General features: G+C 45.6%; 1 annotated feature.

The window, feature by feature from the left end:
• Positions 828-2,027: an enhancer, noted in NCBI's record as "MED14-independent group 3 enhancer chr2:119807422-119808621 (GRCh37/hg19 assembly coordinates)". NCBI's record gives its function as "activates an origin of replication core promoter dependent on BRD2, BRD4, P300/CBP and CDK7 cofactors, and independent of MED14, by STARR-seq in HCT116 cells {active_cell/tissue: HCT116}" and the evidence as "EXISTENCE:reporter gene assay evidence [ECO:0000049][PMID:35650434]".

The raw sequence follows: 17,209 nt of genomic DNA on the forward strand, positions 1-17,209 counted from the left end.
ACGTCTGCTGTTAATCTGATAGGTTTTCCTTTATAGGTTACCTGATGCTCTTACAATTTTTTCCTTCATCTTAACTTTGGATAACCTGATGACAATGTACCTAGGTGAAGATCTTGTTGCAATGAATTTCCCAGGTGTTCTTTGTGCTTCTTGTATTTGAATGTCAGGTCTCTAGCAAGGCCAGGGAAGTTTTAAAGTTTTCCTTGATTATTCCCCCAAATATGTTCTCCAAGATTTTAGAATTGCCCTCTTCCTCAGGAACACCGATTATTCTTAGGTTTGGTCGTTTAACATAATCCCAGACTACTTGGAGGGTATGGTCATATTTTCTTAGTCTTTGTTGGAGTGGGTTAATTCAAAGACCTTGTCTTCGAGCTCTTTATTTCTTTCTTCTACTTGTTCAATTCTATTGCTGAGACTTTCCAGAGCATTTCACATTTCTTAAAGTGTTTCCAAAGTTTCCCAAATTTTTTATTGCTTTTTCTTTAAGCTATCTATTTCCTTGACTATTTTTCCCTTCACTTCTTGTCTCTTTTTTTTATTTCCTTGCATTGGGCTTTGCCTTTCTCTGATCCCTCCCTGATTAGCTTAATAACTAACTTCCTGAATTCTTTTTCAGGTAAATCAGGGATTTCTTCTTGGTTTGGATCCATTGCTGGTGAAGTAGTGTGATTTTTGGGGGGTATTGACGAGCTTGTTTTGTCATATTACCAGGGTTGGTGTTCTGGTTCCTTCTCATTTGGGTAGGCTCTGTCAGAAGGAAGGTCTATGGCTGAAGGCTGTTGTCCAGATTTTTTTTGTCCCACGGGGTGTTCCCTTGATGTAGTACTCTCCCTTTTTTTCTGTGGATGTGGCCTCCTGTGAGCCGAACTGCAGTGATTGTTGTCTCTTTTCTCTCTTCTGGGTCTAACCACCCAGCAAGTCTACCCAGCTCTGGACTGGTACTGGGGGTTGTCTGCACAAAGTCCTGTGATGTGAACTGTTTATGGGTCTCTCAGCTGTGGATACCAGCGCCTCTTCCAGTGGAGTTGGCAGAGGGTGCAATGGACTCCATGAGTGTCCTTAGCTTTGGTGGTTTAATGCTCTATTTTTGTGCTTGTTGGCCTCCTGCCAGGAGATGGCGCTTTTCATAAAGGATCAGCTGTAGCAGTGTGGAGAGGGACTGGTGGTGGGCATGGCTCTAGAACTCCCAAGATTATATGCCCTTTGTCTTCCAGTACCAGGGTGGGAAGGGAAGGACTATCAGGTGGTGGTGGTGCTAGGTGTGTCTGAGCTCAGACCCTCCTTGGGCGGGTCTTGCTGGAGTTGCTGTGGGGGATGGGGGTGGGATTCCCAGGTTACTGGAGTTGTGTACCTAGGAGGATTATGGCTGTCTCTGCTGAGTCATGCAGGTTGTGAGGGAAGTGGGGGAAAGCTGAAAGTCACAGGCCTCACCCAGCTCCCACACAAACCGAAGGGCCAGTCTCACTCCCACGGTGCACTCCCCCGTCCGCCCGCCCGCCGCCCTGCCAACAGCCCCAAGTCTGTTTCCAGGAAGAGCCTCCCAGCTGTGAAAGAAAAGAACTTTAGTTCTTTCCCAACCTGAGAAGTCTGCAAGCTGGATTTGCGCCCTCCCCCGAGTTCTGGTCAGGAGGCTTCTCACCCTGTTCACCCTGTTCAAGTTGTTACAAAGTTCAGCTAGAGAATTCTTCTCCCTGTGGAGTTTTACCCCCTGCGACTCTGGCCACTCACCTGATGGATCCCTGTGGTTCCAGGCAGGAATGGGCTGCTTGGGGTCCCAGCAAACTCCCAGGGCCTTTCTGCTTCTTCCTCTACCCCTGTATTTCACTTGACTCAGCTCTCTAACTTGACTCAGCTCCAGGTAAAGTTGGAAACTTCTGCAAACAGACCTTCAGCTTCTCCAGTGGGGGTGCGTGTTTGAGAGAGGAGGGTCTCCCTTTCCCACTTCCACAGTTGGGGCACTCTCAGTATTTGGCATGTCTCTTGGGTCCTGCAGGAGCAGTCTGCTTCCTTCACAGAGACTGTGGATCCTCTCAGGATTGCTTGTTTGTTCTTGCAGTTGTTCTGGAGCTAAAATTCACAACGCAAACCTCCACATGCTGCTCTGTCTGGAGCTGCAATCTAATCCTGCTTCCCATCTGCCTTGATCCTGCAAAAAAGGAATACTACTTTTTCCTTTTCAATTTGGATGCCTTTTATTTCTTTTTCTTGTCTGATTGGTGGAAAAGTTTTCAGTTTTTCACTGTTGATTATGATGTTAGCTGTGAGTTTTTCATAAATGGCTTTTATTATGTCAAGAAACTTTCCTTCTACACGTAAACAGTCAAGAGTTGTTATCAAGAAACAATGTTGAACCTTGTCAAATGCTTTCTCTGTGTCAAATGAGATGATTATGTGGTTCTTATCTTTCATTCTGTTAAAGGGATGTGTCACACTGATTGATCTGCATATGTTAAATCAGCTTTGCATGCCAGGGATAAATCCAACTTGGTCATGATGTGTAATCTTTTTGATGTGTTGTTGAATTTGGTTTGCTAATATTTTATTGAAGATTTTTGTATCAATGCTCCATGATAGCCTGTTATGCGACCACTTAACAGGGTGCATTAGAACTATAGTAGTGGTCCAGGAGTCATTTTCACAAGTTATTTTTTGGTAAAAGAAGATAAAGATAAATGTGTAAGATATGATCCAAATAATAGAAAATGCTGACAAAAAAACCAATACTATATATGTGAGTGATGTATGTGTCTCTATTTATATTTACATATGAGCATAAAAAGGACACATAACACATACCAATTTATTAACCTAGGTTACCCGCAGAAGGGCTGGGGCTGAGTATAGGGGCCGTTGTAAGCAGAGGGTTGAAGAGGAGAGGGGAAAGCCAAGCAAAATGGGGACTGTTCTAAAAATATGTAAAAAATGGTGATATATAGGGGCGGGTATGATGGCTCACGCCTGTAATCCCAGCACTTCGGGAGACCAAGGTGGGTGGATCACCGGAGGTCAGGAGTTTGATACCAGCCTGACCAACATGGTAAAACCCCGTCTCTACTAAAATACAAAAATTATCCGGCCGTGGTGGCATGTGCCTGTAATCCCAGCTACTCGGGAGGCTGAGGCAGGAGAATCACTTGCACCCAGGAGGCACAGGTTACAGTGAGCTGAGATCGCATCATTGCACTCAGGCCTGGGCAACAAGAGAGAAGCTGCATCTCAAAAAAAAAAAAAAAAAAAGAATATATATATATATATATATATATACACACACACACACACACACACACACGTATATATATAGTGATATGCATGTAAAATTGTGAGTGTATATACAAATAAATTTGTAATAAAAATTTCTAAAATAGAAAAGTGTAGGAGTATGCACAAGTGGGAGAGATAACATTTGAACTGGCTGAATCACTGCAGTGTTGTGATGAACATATTGGTTTGAACGTATTGAAACCAGTCTGGTGGCAAGACCTGGAACTCTCCTCTTGGCCCCGTTCTCATTATCTTGGTCATAATAGGGGAAAGATGTGGAAATCATGTTGATTACACTTGCAGGTAAAAGAAAGAAAGATGGGATAACTTTTTATGTTTGAAAACAGAAATAAAATGTAAAACAAGCCAGAAGATTTAGCCCAAAGCTATTAAGTGAACATTAATCAAGATAAAGTTCTGTCTCTAGTTTTAAATACATCCATTTACCTAAACTATTTGTGTGGGAATGATCAGTTTCTTGTGCGTAAGTTCCATTAAGTCACTGGCTTTGTCTTATTTATCTTTAAGCCCTGACTACCCACTACCCAGCACAGTGCCTGGCCCATAATCTATTCTGGACAGAGACCAGAGAGGATCTGATGGGATGGTAGAAGGTGATGAGATGGAACACAAAAGCAGTGTGTACAAAGAGAAGGAAGGACAAACCCGAGGGGCACCATGATGCCAGATTCTATGCCAGGGGTACCTTGAACTCCTGAGAACCCTGGGATGTAGGTGATATTAGATCTACTTTGCAGATGAAGAAACTAGGGGTAAAACTGGATTTGAACCCCAGGTTTGCCCGACTTCAAATTTTCCCCCAGGAAACTGGTAGGACAGCAAGTATTATTTTAGATCATAGACACTTAGAGCTGGGAAATCCCAGGCGCCAGAAGCCAGGGTGGGCTGGGGCCCGGCAGCGGAGCTCTGGGCACACTCCAGCTGTCACTTTCAACCACAGCAGCTTTGCTTCATTCTTTTTTCCTTGTTCTTTGTAAGATTCTTTTTTCTTTGTAAGATTTCATTTGAATAAAGAATTCCCTGGCTGAAAAGAAGAAGCTTAAAATCATTATGTATGTCATCCATCCTGCCTCAGTCTTCATTATAGAAATAAGAAAGATAAGGTCCAGAGAAGGGATTGATACACATGGTCCAGCTAGGGCTGGCCCCAGAACACCACCAGACTGGGCTTCTCCTGATACCTGAGCCCCTGGCCTGGAGTTTTCCTAGAGAGGTTGTTGTCAGGGGAAAGCCCCCACAAAGCTGCTGCCTCTCCACTCCTCAGCCAGGCTTGCCCAGTGCCTCACTCCCACAGGCCATCAGTCTTCTTTTCTTGGTCGTCCTTTTGGGGAGGGCCAAGAGCTTGAAGGGAGCCTCTCGGGCCTGTCAATCTTTCTTCAAGTGCATCTGCTTTTCCAGAGGACAGCGCTACCCCCAGATGCTTAAAAGCCCATTTGGGACCCCCTGATGGATGCCTGAAGCTGCCCCACACCAGGAAGCCGGTGAGTTGCTTGCTTGGTTGGGTTCCGCCTGCATTCGCTTGACTCAGCAATGCTGACTGAGAGTTGCCCCTCCATGTTCCTTCCCAATAGGAGGCTGGCCTGAGAACCTGGCCAGGCCCCCTCTCCTCAGGCCCCTCTGTCCCAACCATTGCATTGCCTCCCTGCCCTTCCAGAATTGGGCAGCCTCAGGCATGACAGGACCAAGGTTTGGGGCAGCAGGCTTGATTTGAGGGGCCTGCTCGCAGACAAGCCCCTCAATCTTTATTCCTTTCAGCCAGGAAATTCTCCAATGGCTCCCTTCTTGAATGGAAACCACTGGAGTAAAAAAGTCTTCTGTAAAGTAAATAACACAGACCAGAGGTAGTACTATGACCACCAGTGAGTGCATCTGTCTGAGGCGCTGGTCAGCATACAGGACAGAGTGTGAAATGGGCAGGACTCCACAGCCCCAGGGACAGGCAGCCTGGCTTCCAGATCAGTGTATTCCAGAGCAAGCCACTCCCTCTTCAGTAGCCTCAGTGTGTTTTTCACTCTTTCAAACTTTAAGACTCTTATTAACAAGTCCATGCAGTTTGTGAGCTTGAAAAAATCTCTCTATATATAAAGGTGGAGTTTTGGTGGGGTTTTGTTTGTTCACTGTTTTGTGGGTTGGGATTTCAGGAGGGCTAAACCAAGCAGCTCTACTTTGGAGATCTCTATGGGGGGAAGCCGCCCCCAATATTTCAACATAGGTTCTTTCTATTTTCCAAAAGTGTCGGCCTGCTGAGAAATAAAGAGAAAGAGTACAAAGAGAGGAATTTTACAGCTGGGCTGCCGGGGGTGACATCACATATCGGTAGGACCATGATGCCCACCTGAGCCACAAAACCAGCAAGTTTTATTAAGGATCTCAAAAGGGGAGGGGGTGCAAGAACAAGGAGTAGGTCACAAGATCACATGCTTCAAAGGGCAAAAAGGAGAACAAAGATCACATGCTTCTGAGGAAACAGGACAAGGGCAAAATCAGAAACTCCTGATAAGGGTCCAACAAAGATAACAAGGCAAAGGGCAAAAGCAAGGATCACAAGGCAAAGGGCAAAAGCAGAACTAATGATAAGGTTCTATGTTCAGTGGTGCACATATTGTCTTGATAAACATCTTAAACAACAGAAAACAGGGTTCGAGAGCAGAGAACCAGTCTGACCTCAAATTTACCAGGGTACAGTTTTTGTTTTTTCCCCACCCTAACAAGCCTGAGGGTACTGCAGGAGACCAGGGTGTATTTCAGTCCTTATTTCAACTGCATAAGACAGATACTCCCAGAGTGGCCGTTTATAGGTCTCCCCCAAGGAATGCATTCCTTCCCCAAGGTATTAATTATTAATATTCCTTGCTAGGAAAAAAATCTAGCAATATCTTCCTTACTTGTACATCTTCTTGCAGAGGCTCTCTGCAAGAAGAAAAATATGGCTCTATTTTGCCCGACCTTGCAGGCAGTCAGACCTTATGGTTGTCTTCCCTTGTTCCCTGAAAATAGCTGTTATTCTGTTCTTTTTCAAGGTGCACTGATTTTATATTGTTCAAACACACATGTTTTACATTCAATGTGTACAGTTAACACAATTATCACAGTGGTCCTGTGGTGACGTACATCCTCAGCTTACGAAGATAACAGGATTAAGAGATTAAAGTAAGACAGACATAAGAAATTATGACAGTATTATTTGGTAACTGGTAAATGTCCATGAAATTTTCATAATTTATGTTTCTCTGCCACGGCTCCAGCCAGTCCCTCCATTCGGGATCCCTGACTTCCTGCAACAGGTCTCAAGTCAGGTTACAAAACTCAGAGGTTTGCCCAGGTTGAAGTCATCCAAAGGTTCAACTGTGTTGGATGGCCCAGCTGGCCCATTCAAAAGGCTGGTGGTTGATGCTGGCTGTCTATGGTGAGCTCAGCCTGGGCTGTCACAGGAGTGCCTACCCACAGCCTCCACCTGTGGCCTGGGCTTCCTCACAGCATGGCAGTCTTGGGTCATTAGATTTCTTACATGGCCGACCTCAGCTCCAAAAGCAAGTATTACAACCTGTCAAGCTTTCCTTGATTAAAACTCTTTCAAATGTCAACTCCACAAGATGTGAAAGAATTGAAGGCTTTAAAAACATCATGTTTGCTGTCACTAAAAAGAAAAGTATATGAATAAACACAAAATGAAAACCCTGTGCTACATAGATAATGCTTAGAGCTCTAGTTACTGTGTCAACAGTTTTGTATTGGACGACCTCAGCTCCAACCTCTTTTGTTCACATCTTATTGCTAGAATCTCATATTTGTTAGTCCTTGCTGGCTGTCCACAGGGGCTAATGGTAGAAAAAGCCAACAATTCCTCAGCTCTGCCCTAGTCAGTCTTGGCAGAGGACTTGTTTTCAGCTGCTGAGGCATTTTTCTCTTTGTCCTCATAATTTAGGGCTTGAAGGCATCTGCAAGATGATCCTGGCAGTAATGGTGAGGAGGCTGCTGACCCAGGCTCCTGTCTCCTTGGCTGTCTTTATCTGTGTCTCTGCTGCTTGGCTGGCTACCTACCAGGGGTCCTGTGGAATAGTGGTCGTAGTCTGGACACACACATCTTGTGTCTTCCAGTTGTCTTGCTTGTTCTGCTGCCAGCTATTGTCAACCCTTTCACCATAGCTTCCCGCTCAGGAGGGCTGGGATCCTGGGGTCAGTGCCCACTGGGTGTCCACATGTTGGGAGGTAGGGACAGCTACCTGAAGTGAAGCAGGAAGGCATTATTGAAGCTGGCCTCCTGGTGCACACCCCCATTCCTCCTTGCTTTTCTCACTCTCATCTTTCTGGTTGTTCTGTTAGTGTGATGTGAGGAGTCCTTTTTACCACAGTTATGTGCATTTTACCTGTTGCTACCAGGAAACTCCCCACCTGGGCCCCTCACCTGCTCCTTGGCAATACCCAACCTCTCAGACCCTCCTGCATGGTCAACAGACATCCTTAGCACTTTTTCCTATTAGCCAGGGTATAGATGCATCTTGCTCATGAAATCCCGTTGTTCCCACATTGGGCCATGTTACTGGGTCCTATCTTTTTTTGTGATGACCTTCTGGTCTCCGCTGGCCGCCCCGGTGATGTGTGCCTCCTGTCTGGGAGCTGACTTGGCCTGGTGGACTTCTGGACCTCAGCCTCTTGGCTTATGGTGGCATTGATGGTAGCAGCCTGTGACAATAGTGCTTCCAGGATGTGAAGTATTTAGGGAATCGGGCAGCAGTGGGGCCACACAATGCTTTTTGGGGTTCTCACTCCTTCTTGCTACCAGTCTGCTTTCTCGGCCTCAATCTCTTCATCTATTAAATAGGGCTCCTGGACTAGAGGACCTCCTCGGTTATGCCCCAATGATGCTATAAAGTGAGCTTATCAGGTATAAAGCCTCTGCCCAGGTAGGACTGACCAAAGGGCAGATGGACCAGCCACTTCCTCACCATTCCCAACTTCTTGGTCAGCCTAATCCAGCCTGCAGACACAGCCTCCTCTGATATAAGCTTGACTGTTCCAGGAGTGTGGTGATCCACAACATATACCAAGACTTAACCATTACAGCTTTGTATATCATGCCCAGAACTAAGACCCAGAAACCTACCCCCAGCCTTCCCTGCCCTCAGTGGATGGTGGCATTTCTGTAAAGGGCACAGTTGGCCAAAGGTTCCTCCAAGGACCTTGACAGACAAACGATATCCACAAGGGGTGCTGGAGGAGCAGAGAGGGATGGGAACCCTGCAAGGTGACTGCAGCTCACACCCTATATGCATAAGGAACACCCATTTGGAAAGCTTTGGTTGAGGTGGGCAAATGCAGAAATGGGCAAAACCTGGGACTTAGAGAAAGCTATGCTGATGTGACAGCATTAGCGTTTGCAGACTGGGCCCACACTGGGTTACCTGAGTAACGCCAAAGCCCCATCAGGGACCGAGGGGGTCACTGTTAAAGGGGCAGATGTTGGGTGCAATGCAGAATGCTGGATGAGAATAGAATCCATCAGAGTATGGGAATTAGGGGGCAAAGCAAGAGCTCTAGCTTTAACTGTCTTGGAGTGAAAAGGGAAAAAGAAAAGCAAGCAGAGAAAATATTCCTTCTTGCTCCAGAAAGGACAATGGCGGGGAAATGGCCCTGCGGTCAAAGAAAAACCCAAGAAAAGGAAGAAATCAGGGAAGCCCAAGGCATTGGAAACTGCAGGAGTTGGTGTGGCTGCTGAAGGGCTGGCAGGATTTCCATTAACAGTGCATTTTACATAAGAGTTTACCAATAGAGTTTTCTGTGATGATGGAAATGTCCCATGTCTGTCCTGTGTAATACAGTAGCCTCAGCCACATGTAGCTACTGAGCACTTAAAATTTGGTCAGTGCAACTGAGAAACTGAAATTTTATTTTTACGTAATTTTAATGGACTTAAATCTATATATCTACATTGGCTAGTGGCTACCTTATTGGACAGCATAGAAATAATGGATTTGTTTCAAACATATAAAACAATATCATCTCTTGTATTGAAAAGAGGTGTTCAAATGAAAACTCGTACATGGGTGTTCATAGCAGCACTATTCATAACATCCAAAAGGTGGAAGCAACCCAGTGGCCATCAACAAATGAGTGGATAAGCAATGTAATATGTATATGCAATGGAGTATTATTCAGCCATAAGAAAGGAACAAGTACTAATGACAACATGAATGACCCTTGAACATACTATGCCAAGTGAAAGAAGCCAAACACAAAAGACCACATATTATATGATTCTATTTATATGAAATGTCCAAAATAGGCAAATCCAAATAGAACGTAGAATAGTGGTTGCCTGGGGCTGGGGAGGAGGAATTGTGGAATGACCGCTAATGAGTATGGTGTTTCCTTTTGGGGATGGTGAAAACATCTTGGAACTGGAGAGAGGCAAGGCCACACAACACTGTAAATGTACTAAATGTCACTAATGAGTAAATTTTATGCTATGTGCATTTTACCACAATAAAACAAAACGAAACAAAAACAAAGAAACAAATATTATCTCTCTTTATTCCTTTGGAAAGGGGAATGACGTTCTCTGGCCTCCCTTGAATTTAATTTTCTTCTTCTTTTCCTTCCTTCCTCCCTTTCCTTTCCTTTCCTTTCCCTTTCCCTTTCTTTCTTTTCTTTCTTTCTTTCTTTTCTCTCTTTTCTTACTTTCTTTCTTTCTTTTTTTCTTTCTTTCTTTCTTTCTTTCTTTCTTCCTTTCCTTTCCTTTCCTTTCTTTCTTTCTTCCCTTCTTTCTTTCTTTCTTCCCTTTTTTGAGACAGGGTCTCACTCTGCCACCCAGGCTGCTAGAGTGCAGTGGTGTGAACATGGCTCACTGTCTTCTTAACCTCCCAGACTCCAGCAATCCTCCCACCTCAGCTTCCTGAGTACCTGGGACCATAGGCACAAAAATCCACACCTGGCTGGACTTCAAAAAAAAAAAATTGTACAGACGGAGTGTTGCTATATTGCCCAGGTTCTCAGTGGAATTTTGTCCCCAAGGCATGTTTGGCTTTTTGCCATTTTTCCCCCACCCTCGAGGGCAGAGTATATCACTCAGAGGTGAAGCTGAGCTGCTATCTCCAGTGGGGCTGGGAAGCGCTTGGTGAGAGGCGTACAGTGATGGGAGTGGAACAAGCCCCCCAGGTAAGGCCTTCCTGGTCCTCCCAGGAACATTTTGGTAGCCATGGACAGGCTGGCAGCTTGGCCCTACCTGAGAGTTTGAGGCACACCTCTCCCCGGACATGGGGAGCACGTGGGCACTCCTGTGCTCTGATGAAGGGAACTGTGGTGAGATGATTAACAGCCCTCCAGCCCTGCCCCCGTAGAGGGAGAGTGCATGCCTATTAATCAGTGGTGAGTGCTCTTTGCTCAGACATCTATTCTCCTGTGGAGTGGTCCACAGTGTTCATCGAGGATGCTGCATGGAGCTCCTAACCTTTTCCCAGCAGTCTGCTGGGAACCCTGCCTCCCTTCACGTCCAAGGTGCTGGCCAAAAGGACAAGGTACCGTCTTCACCATGGGATGCCACTCAAGAAGTGGTGTGGTTCAGAGATGACCCAAATGAGAGCACACTCCTGGCCCCCAAAAATCAATATTCACTGTTGGGACCACCACAGGAGAGACCTCTCCCCACCTGCCAAATAAAATCAATTGTGAAGTCACCTGGCCAAAAGAGGAAACTAGGACATATGAGAAAGGGGAAACGTGGTCTCTGGAGGAAGCACAGAACTCAGAGGTGGATCAGGGTCCCAGGTTTTGTCCTCTATGCTGCTACCAAGCCCTGCGTCCCCAGGCTGTCATGCCACCTGTAAGTCTCCGAGTCTGTCAGTGTGGCTAGGGAGGCAGTACTGCTCCACCCACAAGACTTACAAGAGCAAGAGTTTCAAGTCAGACAGCGCTGAGTGCAAATTTCAGCTCTGCCAGTTGCTAGCTCTTCAACCTTTGATAGGTCACTCGATCTCCCTAAGATTGTTTCCACACCTGGGAAATGGGTAGAAGAAAACCTACTTGACAGAACTGTTAGGAATATCAAGTGACATAATGGCCTATGAAACCATCAGCACATTCCTGGCCCTTAGTAAGACAAGCCCAAGTAATTATACCTAACATTATAATCGTGTATACTGTCAAATAACTCTAGATGGAAAAGCTGTTTCAAAATGTGTGTCCTGTTTCACCAGGGTGAAGTGGTGGAAAGAGGACTGGGAGGGGAATCAGAGGACATGGGAGTGAGTCCTGGTTCTGTGAATGACTACCTTTCACTGCTTTTTAAAATCCTGTGCTCCTTCTTGGGTTTGTAAAATAGATGCAGACTGTTCAAGAAATGGGCCCCAGAGAACATCACATACCGGGGCCGGTGGGTGGGTGGGGGGTTGGGGGAGGGATAGCATTAGGAGAAATACCTAATGTAAATGACGAGTTGATGGGTGCAGCCAACCAACGTGGTACATGTATAACTATGTAACAAACCTGCACTTCGTGCACATGTACCCTAGAACTTAAAGTATAATAAAAATAAACAAACACATATGATATTCACTATTGTTAAAAATCTCAAAAAAAGAAAAAAGAAATGGGCCCCAGCAACCCAGGAGAGTCTTTGGGTGGGCCCTGAGGGGTGCTCTGCTAATTGCCCAGAATGTGGGTCCACCCCTCTCTGGCTGACCTCACCTGCCCCAGCTTTCTGTCTGCCTGGACCCCACCGCTCTCCTCCCCACCCCTTGCTCAGATCTTGGATACGTGTCTGTGGGTGTGCCCCCAGCTCCCTTTCTTGGGATCCTGTGGCCTTTTCCTCTGGCTTCATCAGCTCAGTTATGGGAGGAAGGCTGTCTCCTTTCCCACAGCCCATCCTGCAGGACTAGACCAGCGAGGCCAACACCCAGCTTGTCCACAGCTATCCTTTGAATGTTTGTGCCCCCTGCAAAATTCATGCTGAAACTTAATCCCCAATACAACCATCCTAAGGGGTGGGAACTTTAGAAAGTGATTATACCATGAGAGATGGGATTAGCATCTTATAAAAGGCTGGAGGAAACTAGCTAGGCCCCTTTTCATCTTTCTTTTCCTTCTGTCATGTAAGGACAAAGCATTCGTCCCCTCCAGAGGATGCAGTAATAAGACACCATCCTGGAAGCAGAGAGCAGCCCTCACCACACACCAAACCTGCTGGCACCTTGATCTTGAACTTCCAGCCACCAGTAAGAAATAAATTTCTGTTATTTGTAAATTACCTACTCTCAGGTATTTTATTATAGCAGTAGGAACAGATTAAGACACCCATGCTAAAATTAGGATGAGTCCATTTCCCCACCCATAAAATAAGGATGTTGAGTCAGATGCTCTTGAAGGTTCCCTTCAGCTTTCACATTTTGTGGTCCTGGCTCTTCTTATTGGTGTATAGAGGACTTTTGTTGTTGTTCTTCTTCTGTAAAATGCAACCTGTGAATGCAACCAAGAGACAGGTGGCTGTAAAGGTATGAGTTGCGCTGGGGGAACTGAAACCCCGGATTAATTAAATCTTCTCCAAGTGTCTCCCATTTATCTCACCCCCACTAACTTTTGGGCCTGTCGATTGTGAGAACACTGAGCCGCAGAATTGAAGCAAGATGATCCCCAACCAAGTCGTCAGCTGACTGCTCCACCCTGGGGTGGGGGTGGGGGGGGCTGCTAGGAGTTGGGGGGAGCAGGGGCCAGGGCTGGAGATGGTCAAAGCAGAGACCCTTCTGAAGCAGCCTCCTAAGGGTGGAAAGTGAGACATTGCCAGTGAGCCTTCCCTAAAGGCACCATCTGGCTGCCCCTACCCCAGGTGTCAGAGCCCCTGAGGTGTATTCTACAGCACGAACAGCTCTAGCTGCACTCTCTATCCAGTGGCTGCTAGTCACAAGTGGTTATTTAAATTTCAAAGATTAAAATTGAATTCAATTTTTAAATTCATTTCCTCAGTAAAATTAGCCCTCTTTCATGGGTTCAGTAGCCAGCTGTGGCTATTGGCTACCATACTAGACAGCACTAATAGGAAACATTCCCTTCATCACATTGGAATGTGTATGGCACTGCTCAGAGCGTAGGAAAGGAGGCAACAAATTTCCCTGGCATGAGAAAATGCTGAAGATGGACGTAACAGACACCCTGAGGTCATACCTCAGTTCACTCTGAAGATGTGCTAGCATGTCTTACAATGTCCCAAACCTCCTATTGGACTCCAGTGGGCAGAGGGGTCAGGCTGTTCTATTAAATGGGGAGCTGTCCTAAATGTCAATATCAACTCAGGATGGTCCCTGAAACCTCAGGCAGTTTCCTGTCTTATGGAGCTCTCCATAAGATGGAAGTGGGGGATTGGTGGGAGATGGCAACTGGCATTTTTTTTTAACATTATCTGCATGCCAGGAGTTCTGCTAGATGTTTCACATGTTTATTTAGTCCTTACAACCAATCAGTGAGATGAGGTAAGTTGCCGTCCTCCCTAATGGCTCCTTGAGATCAGGGACTGCTGAGTTAATATTTGCCAAGTTCTTAGATTATTGCCTGCAACACCGTTAAGTGCCATACAAGTGTTTGTGAAGAAAGAATCCACAGAATTCAGCTTTCGGTGTTCCAAGCAAGTTAGTGGCAGAGTAGTGGATAAAATCCAGCCCATGTCAGCTCTCCAAGGCTCTTTCTGTTACACCATTGGCTTGGAAGTCTGACAAAGAGGACATCAGGTTTTTTTTTTGGACATCTTATCTCATTCTCTCTTCCTAATAGCATTCTGACTTTCTTTTGGGAAGCCACTATTTCCTACTTTGGATAGTGCTGGAAATCTATAAACTGTGGTGCCCTACCCTGTCCTGACCAAGAGACAGGAGTTAAGCCAATGAGACTCTCTTTTAGGACTTTGAATCCTGAGCCCAAAGACACAGTGTCGGAAAGCCTTGTGGGAGCTCCCTTGCCCCAGCATCAGTGCCTGGCAGAGAGTTGTGCAGGTTCTGCTGCGAGGATCCCCAGAGCTGGCCTGCTGTCATATGCTCTGTTTTTAGCCTGGTTCTCCAGCTTCCTGAACGTCTTTGAGCTGCCTGATAGCCTTCATTTGATTCCCTTTTTGATAGAATGGCAAGAGTTGTTTGCTTTGGCTTACAATCAAAGAAGCTTGACTGACCCTCCTTGAAAGGAACACAAAGTCACAGCCCTGAAAAAGAATTGCTGGGAGGAACATGGAGATGAAAGAAACTAGAGTGGAAAAGAGACTTGGGTCTCAACAGCCATTTTTCTATCCCTGAATGATCCCAAATGATTCTTCGTGGAAAAGCAGAGGTGTTGAAGAGTGATGCGATAAATAGGGCAATTGGCCCTAATTCTTCACCCTCCCTATGTCCACATTCTTTGTCATGTGATTTTGCAATTCCTCCCACTAGAGGTGAAGTATATTTTTCCACTTCTTGAATTTGGCTGTGTGACTCTCTTCTCCAAAGATACACTGGTGAACATGATGCAGGCAGAGGTTTGAAATATGCTGGTATATTTAAGCTGGCCCTCTTGTGCTCCTGCAGCTGCAATGAGAATGGCATGCCCAAGACCTGTGGAGCAGATCTGGACCCAGTAGATTCCTAGAATCACCTGTGGAGCCTGAGCTCAGCAGAACTCAGCTAACCTACAAATAAAAGAGTGAAAGTAAATGCTTATTTTTTTAAGCCACTGACTTTTGGAGTTGTTTGTTATGCAGCATTATTATTGCAATAGCTAGCTGATACAGGCAGACTGTAAATCAAGGTGCTAAAGTCCTCTGATAAACAGTAGCATAATTATAAATAATAATTACAATAACCTTTTATTAATCCTGTTTCAGGTACTGGGTATTCACTTTGCATGTGCCATTTCATCTATCCATCACAAGCAACATTGCATTGGTGCTATTATTTTCATTTTATAGACAAAGACCCTGAGGCTCAGACTCGATGAGTGACTGATAAACCTCATACATAGCAGATGGCAGGGCTGAGCTTCAAAGCCAGCTGTGTCTATCTCTGCTTACTGTGGCTTTAATCCCTCTCCACTCCTCACCCCACTCCACTGCTTCCCATGGCTCTGCCACTGGATTTAGATGCCTCTACTCAGTTCAGCCCAAGTATGATATATATACAATTTTAGGCCCAAGAATTTTATCTCAGGAACTAGTAGAAGGCAACACAAGTGTTTGGAGTGTGCTGCATTTCTCATTAAGAATTTGTAGCCAATTGTTTAATAATAGGAAAAGACCCTGAGTTTCATTTTCTACATTCTGTCTACATTCATGATTAAAAGACACAATCTTTCTATTTTCTCTCTTCATCCCTCATACCAGCATATTGAAAAGTACTGCTGGTTTCCTTACCTTCTAAATATCTTGTCAATCTGCCAGTTTCTGTCCACAGTTTTATCATCTCTTTGCTGGATTGTGCAATCACCTCCTTCTGGGTCTTCCACTTGCAGTCTGGTGCTCTCCAATTCATTTTCCTCTCTGCAGCCAGAGTGATCTTTCAAAAATGGACACCTGGACAGCTCCTGCCTCTGTTTAAAGTGCTTTAATGGTGTCTCATTGCTTTTCTAATCATAACAAATGACCTGCATATGGCCTGCAAGCCTTTCGAGCATCTTCTCTAACATGCTCTCTTCCCTGCTGTTTTCCAGGTACTCTGCCTGTTCTACTCTTCCTCAAATGTCCGACGCTGTCATGCTTTCTCTGACCACAGGACCTTCACATATGCTGTTCCTCTTACTGGGACGCCCTTCCCACATCCAGCCCTTTTACCTATTAATAGTTAACTCTCACACATCCTTCATATTGCCCCGTGATCATCACTTCCCCTAATGAGCAGCTCCCTCCCCAGACTAGGTTAGATTTTCCTACCACCTACCCTTCAAAATGTATGTTCTCCTCCTGTGTAGACCTTGTGGTAATGCTATTTATGCACTTATTGCATGATTACTGGATTATGGTACCTCTTCCCAGCTGGGCCATTAGGATAACAAGGTAAGGGACCATCCTAGGCATCACTCCCCACTACTTCCAGCCCTGGCACACTGCCAAGCATTTAGATGTGCCTAATAAGTAGCTTATGGAATGAATGAATGATCAATGCTACCCTTCCATCTTCACCACCCCCAAACCTGTTCCCTGTGCAGTCACCTCCAACTCAGCCAACAGCAAATCCATTATGTTTGTTCTCAAGCCAAAAATCCTGGGGTCATTCCTGACTCCTTTCTTTTTCTCACACTCTGTATCTGGGTCTAGCAGCAAATTCCATCAGCTCTCCCTTTACCACACACCCAGCATCCGAGTGCTTCTCACCTCCACCACTGCCCATCCTGGTACCACTTGGATCACTGAAGTAGCCTCCTAACTGCTCTCACTTCTCTGCTGTCTCTTCTCAACAGAGCATCCAGAGCAACCTTGTTAAAGCGTTAGTCGGTTAATGTCTCTCCCTGCTCACACCCTCTCATAGCTGCCATCTCAGCATAAAAGCCAGGTCCATTTCCAGCCTCCTTGCCATCAGACCCCTTCCTGTTACTAGGACACTCTTCCCACACCCACCCCTTTCACCTATTAATAGTTAACTCCCACCTATCCTTCATCCTTCATATTGCCCTATGATCATCACTTCCCCTAACCAGCAACCCCCTCCTCAGATCAGGTCAGATTTTCCTACCACATACTCTTCAAAACCCATATTCATCTGCTATTGCTCTCCCCTCACTCACTCCTGTGCTGGCTGCTGATCTCCTCACTGTGCCAGAAACATCCCAGACATGCCCAGCCGCAAGGCCTTTGCACGTGCCATTGTATATATCACCCTGGAGCCCTTCCTTGCTTGCCTCCAATCTTTACCTAAAATTCACCTCTCCGCAAGGGTTTCCCCAGTTACTGGTTTAAAATTCAACCCTACTCCAACAGTTCATT

Source organism: Homo sapiens, chromosome 2, assembly GCF_000001405.40.
Source record: "Homo sapiens chromosome 2, GRCh38.p14 Primary Assembly".
Classification (NCBI taxonomy): domain Eukaryota; kingdom Metazoa; phylum Chordata; class Mammalia; order Primates; family Hominidae; genus Homo; species Homo sapiens.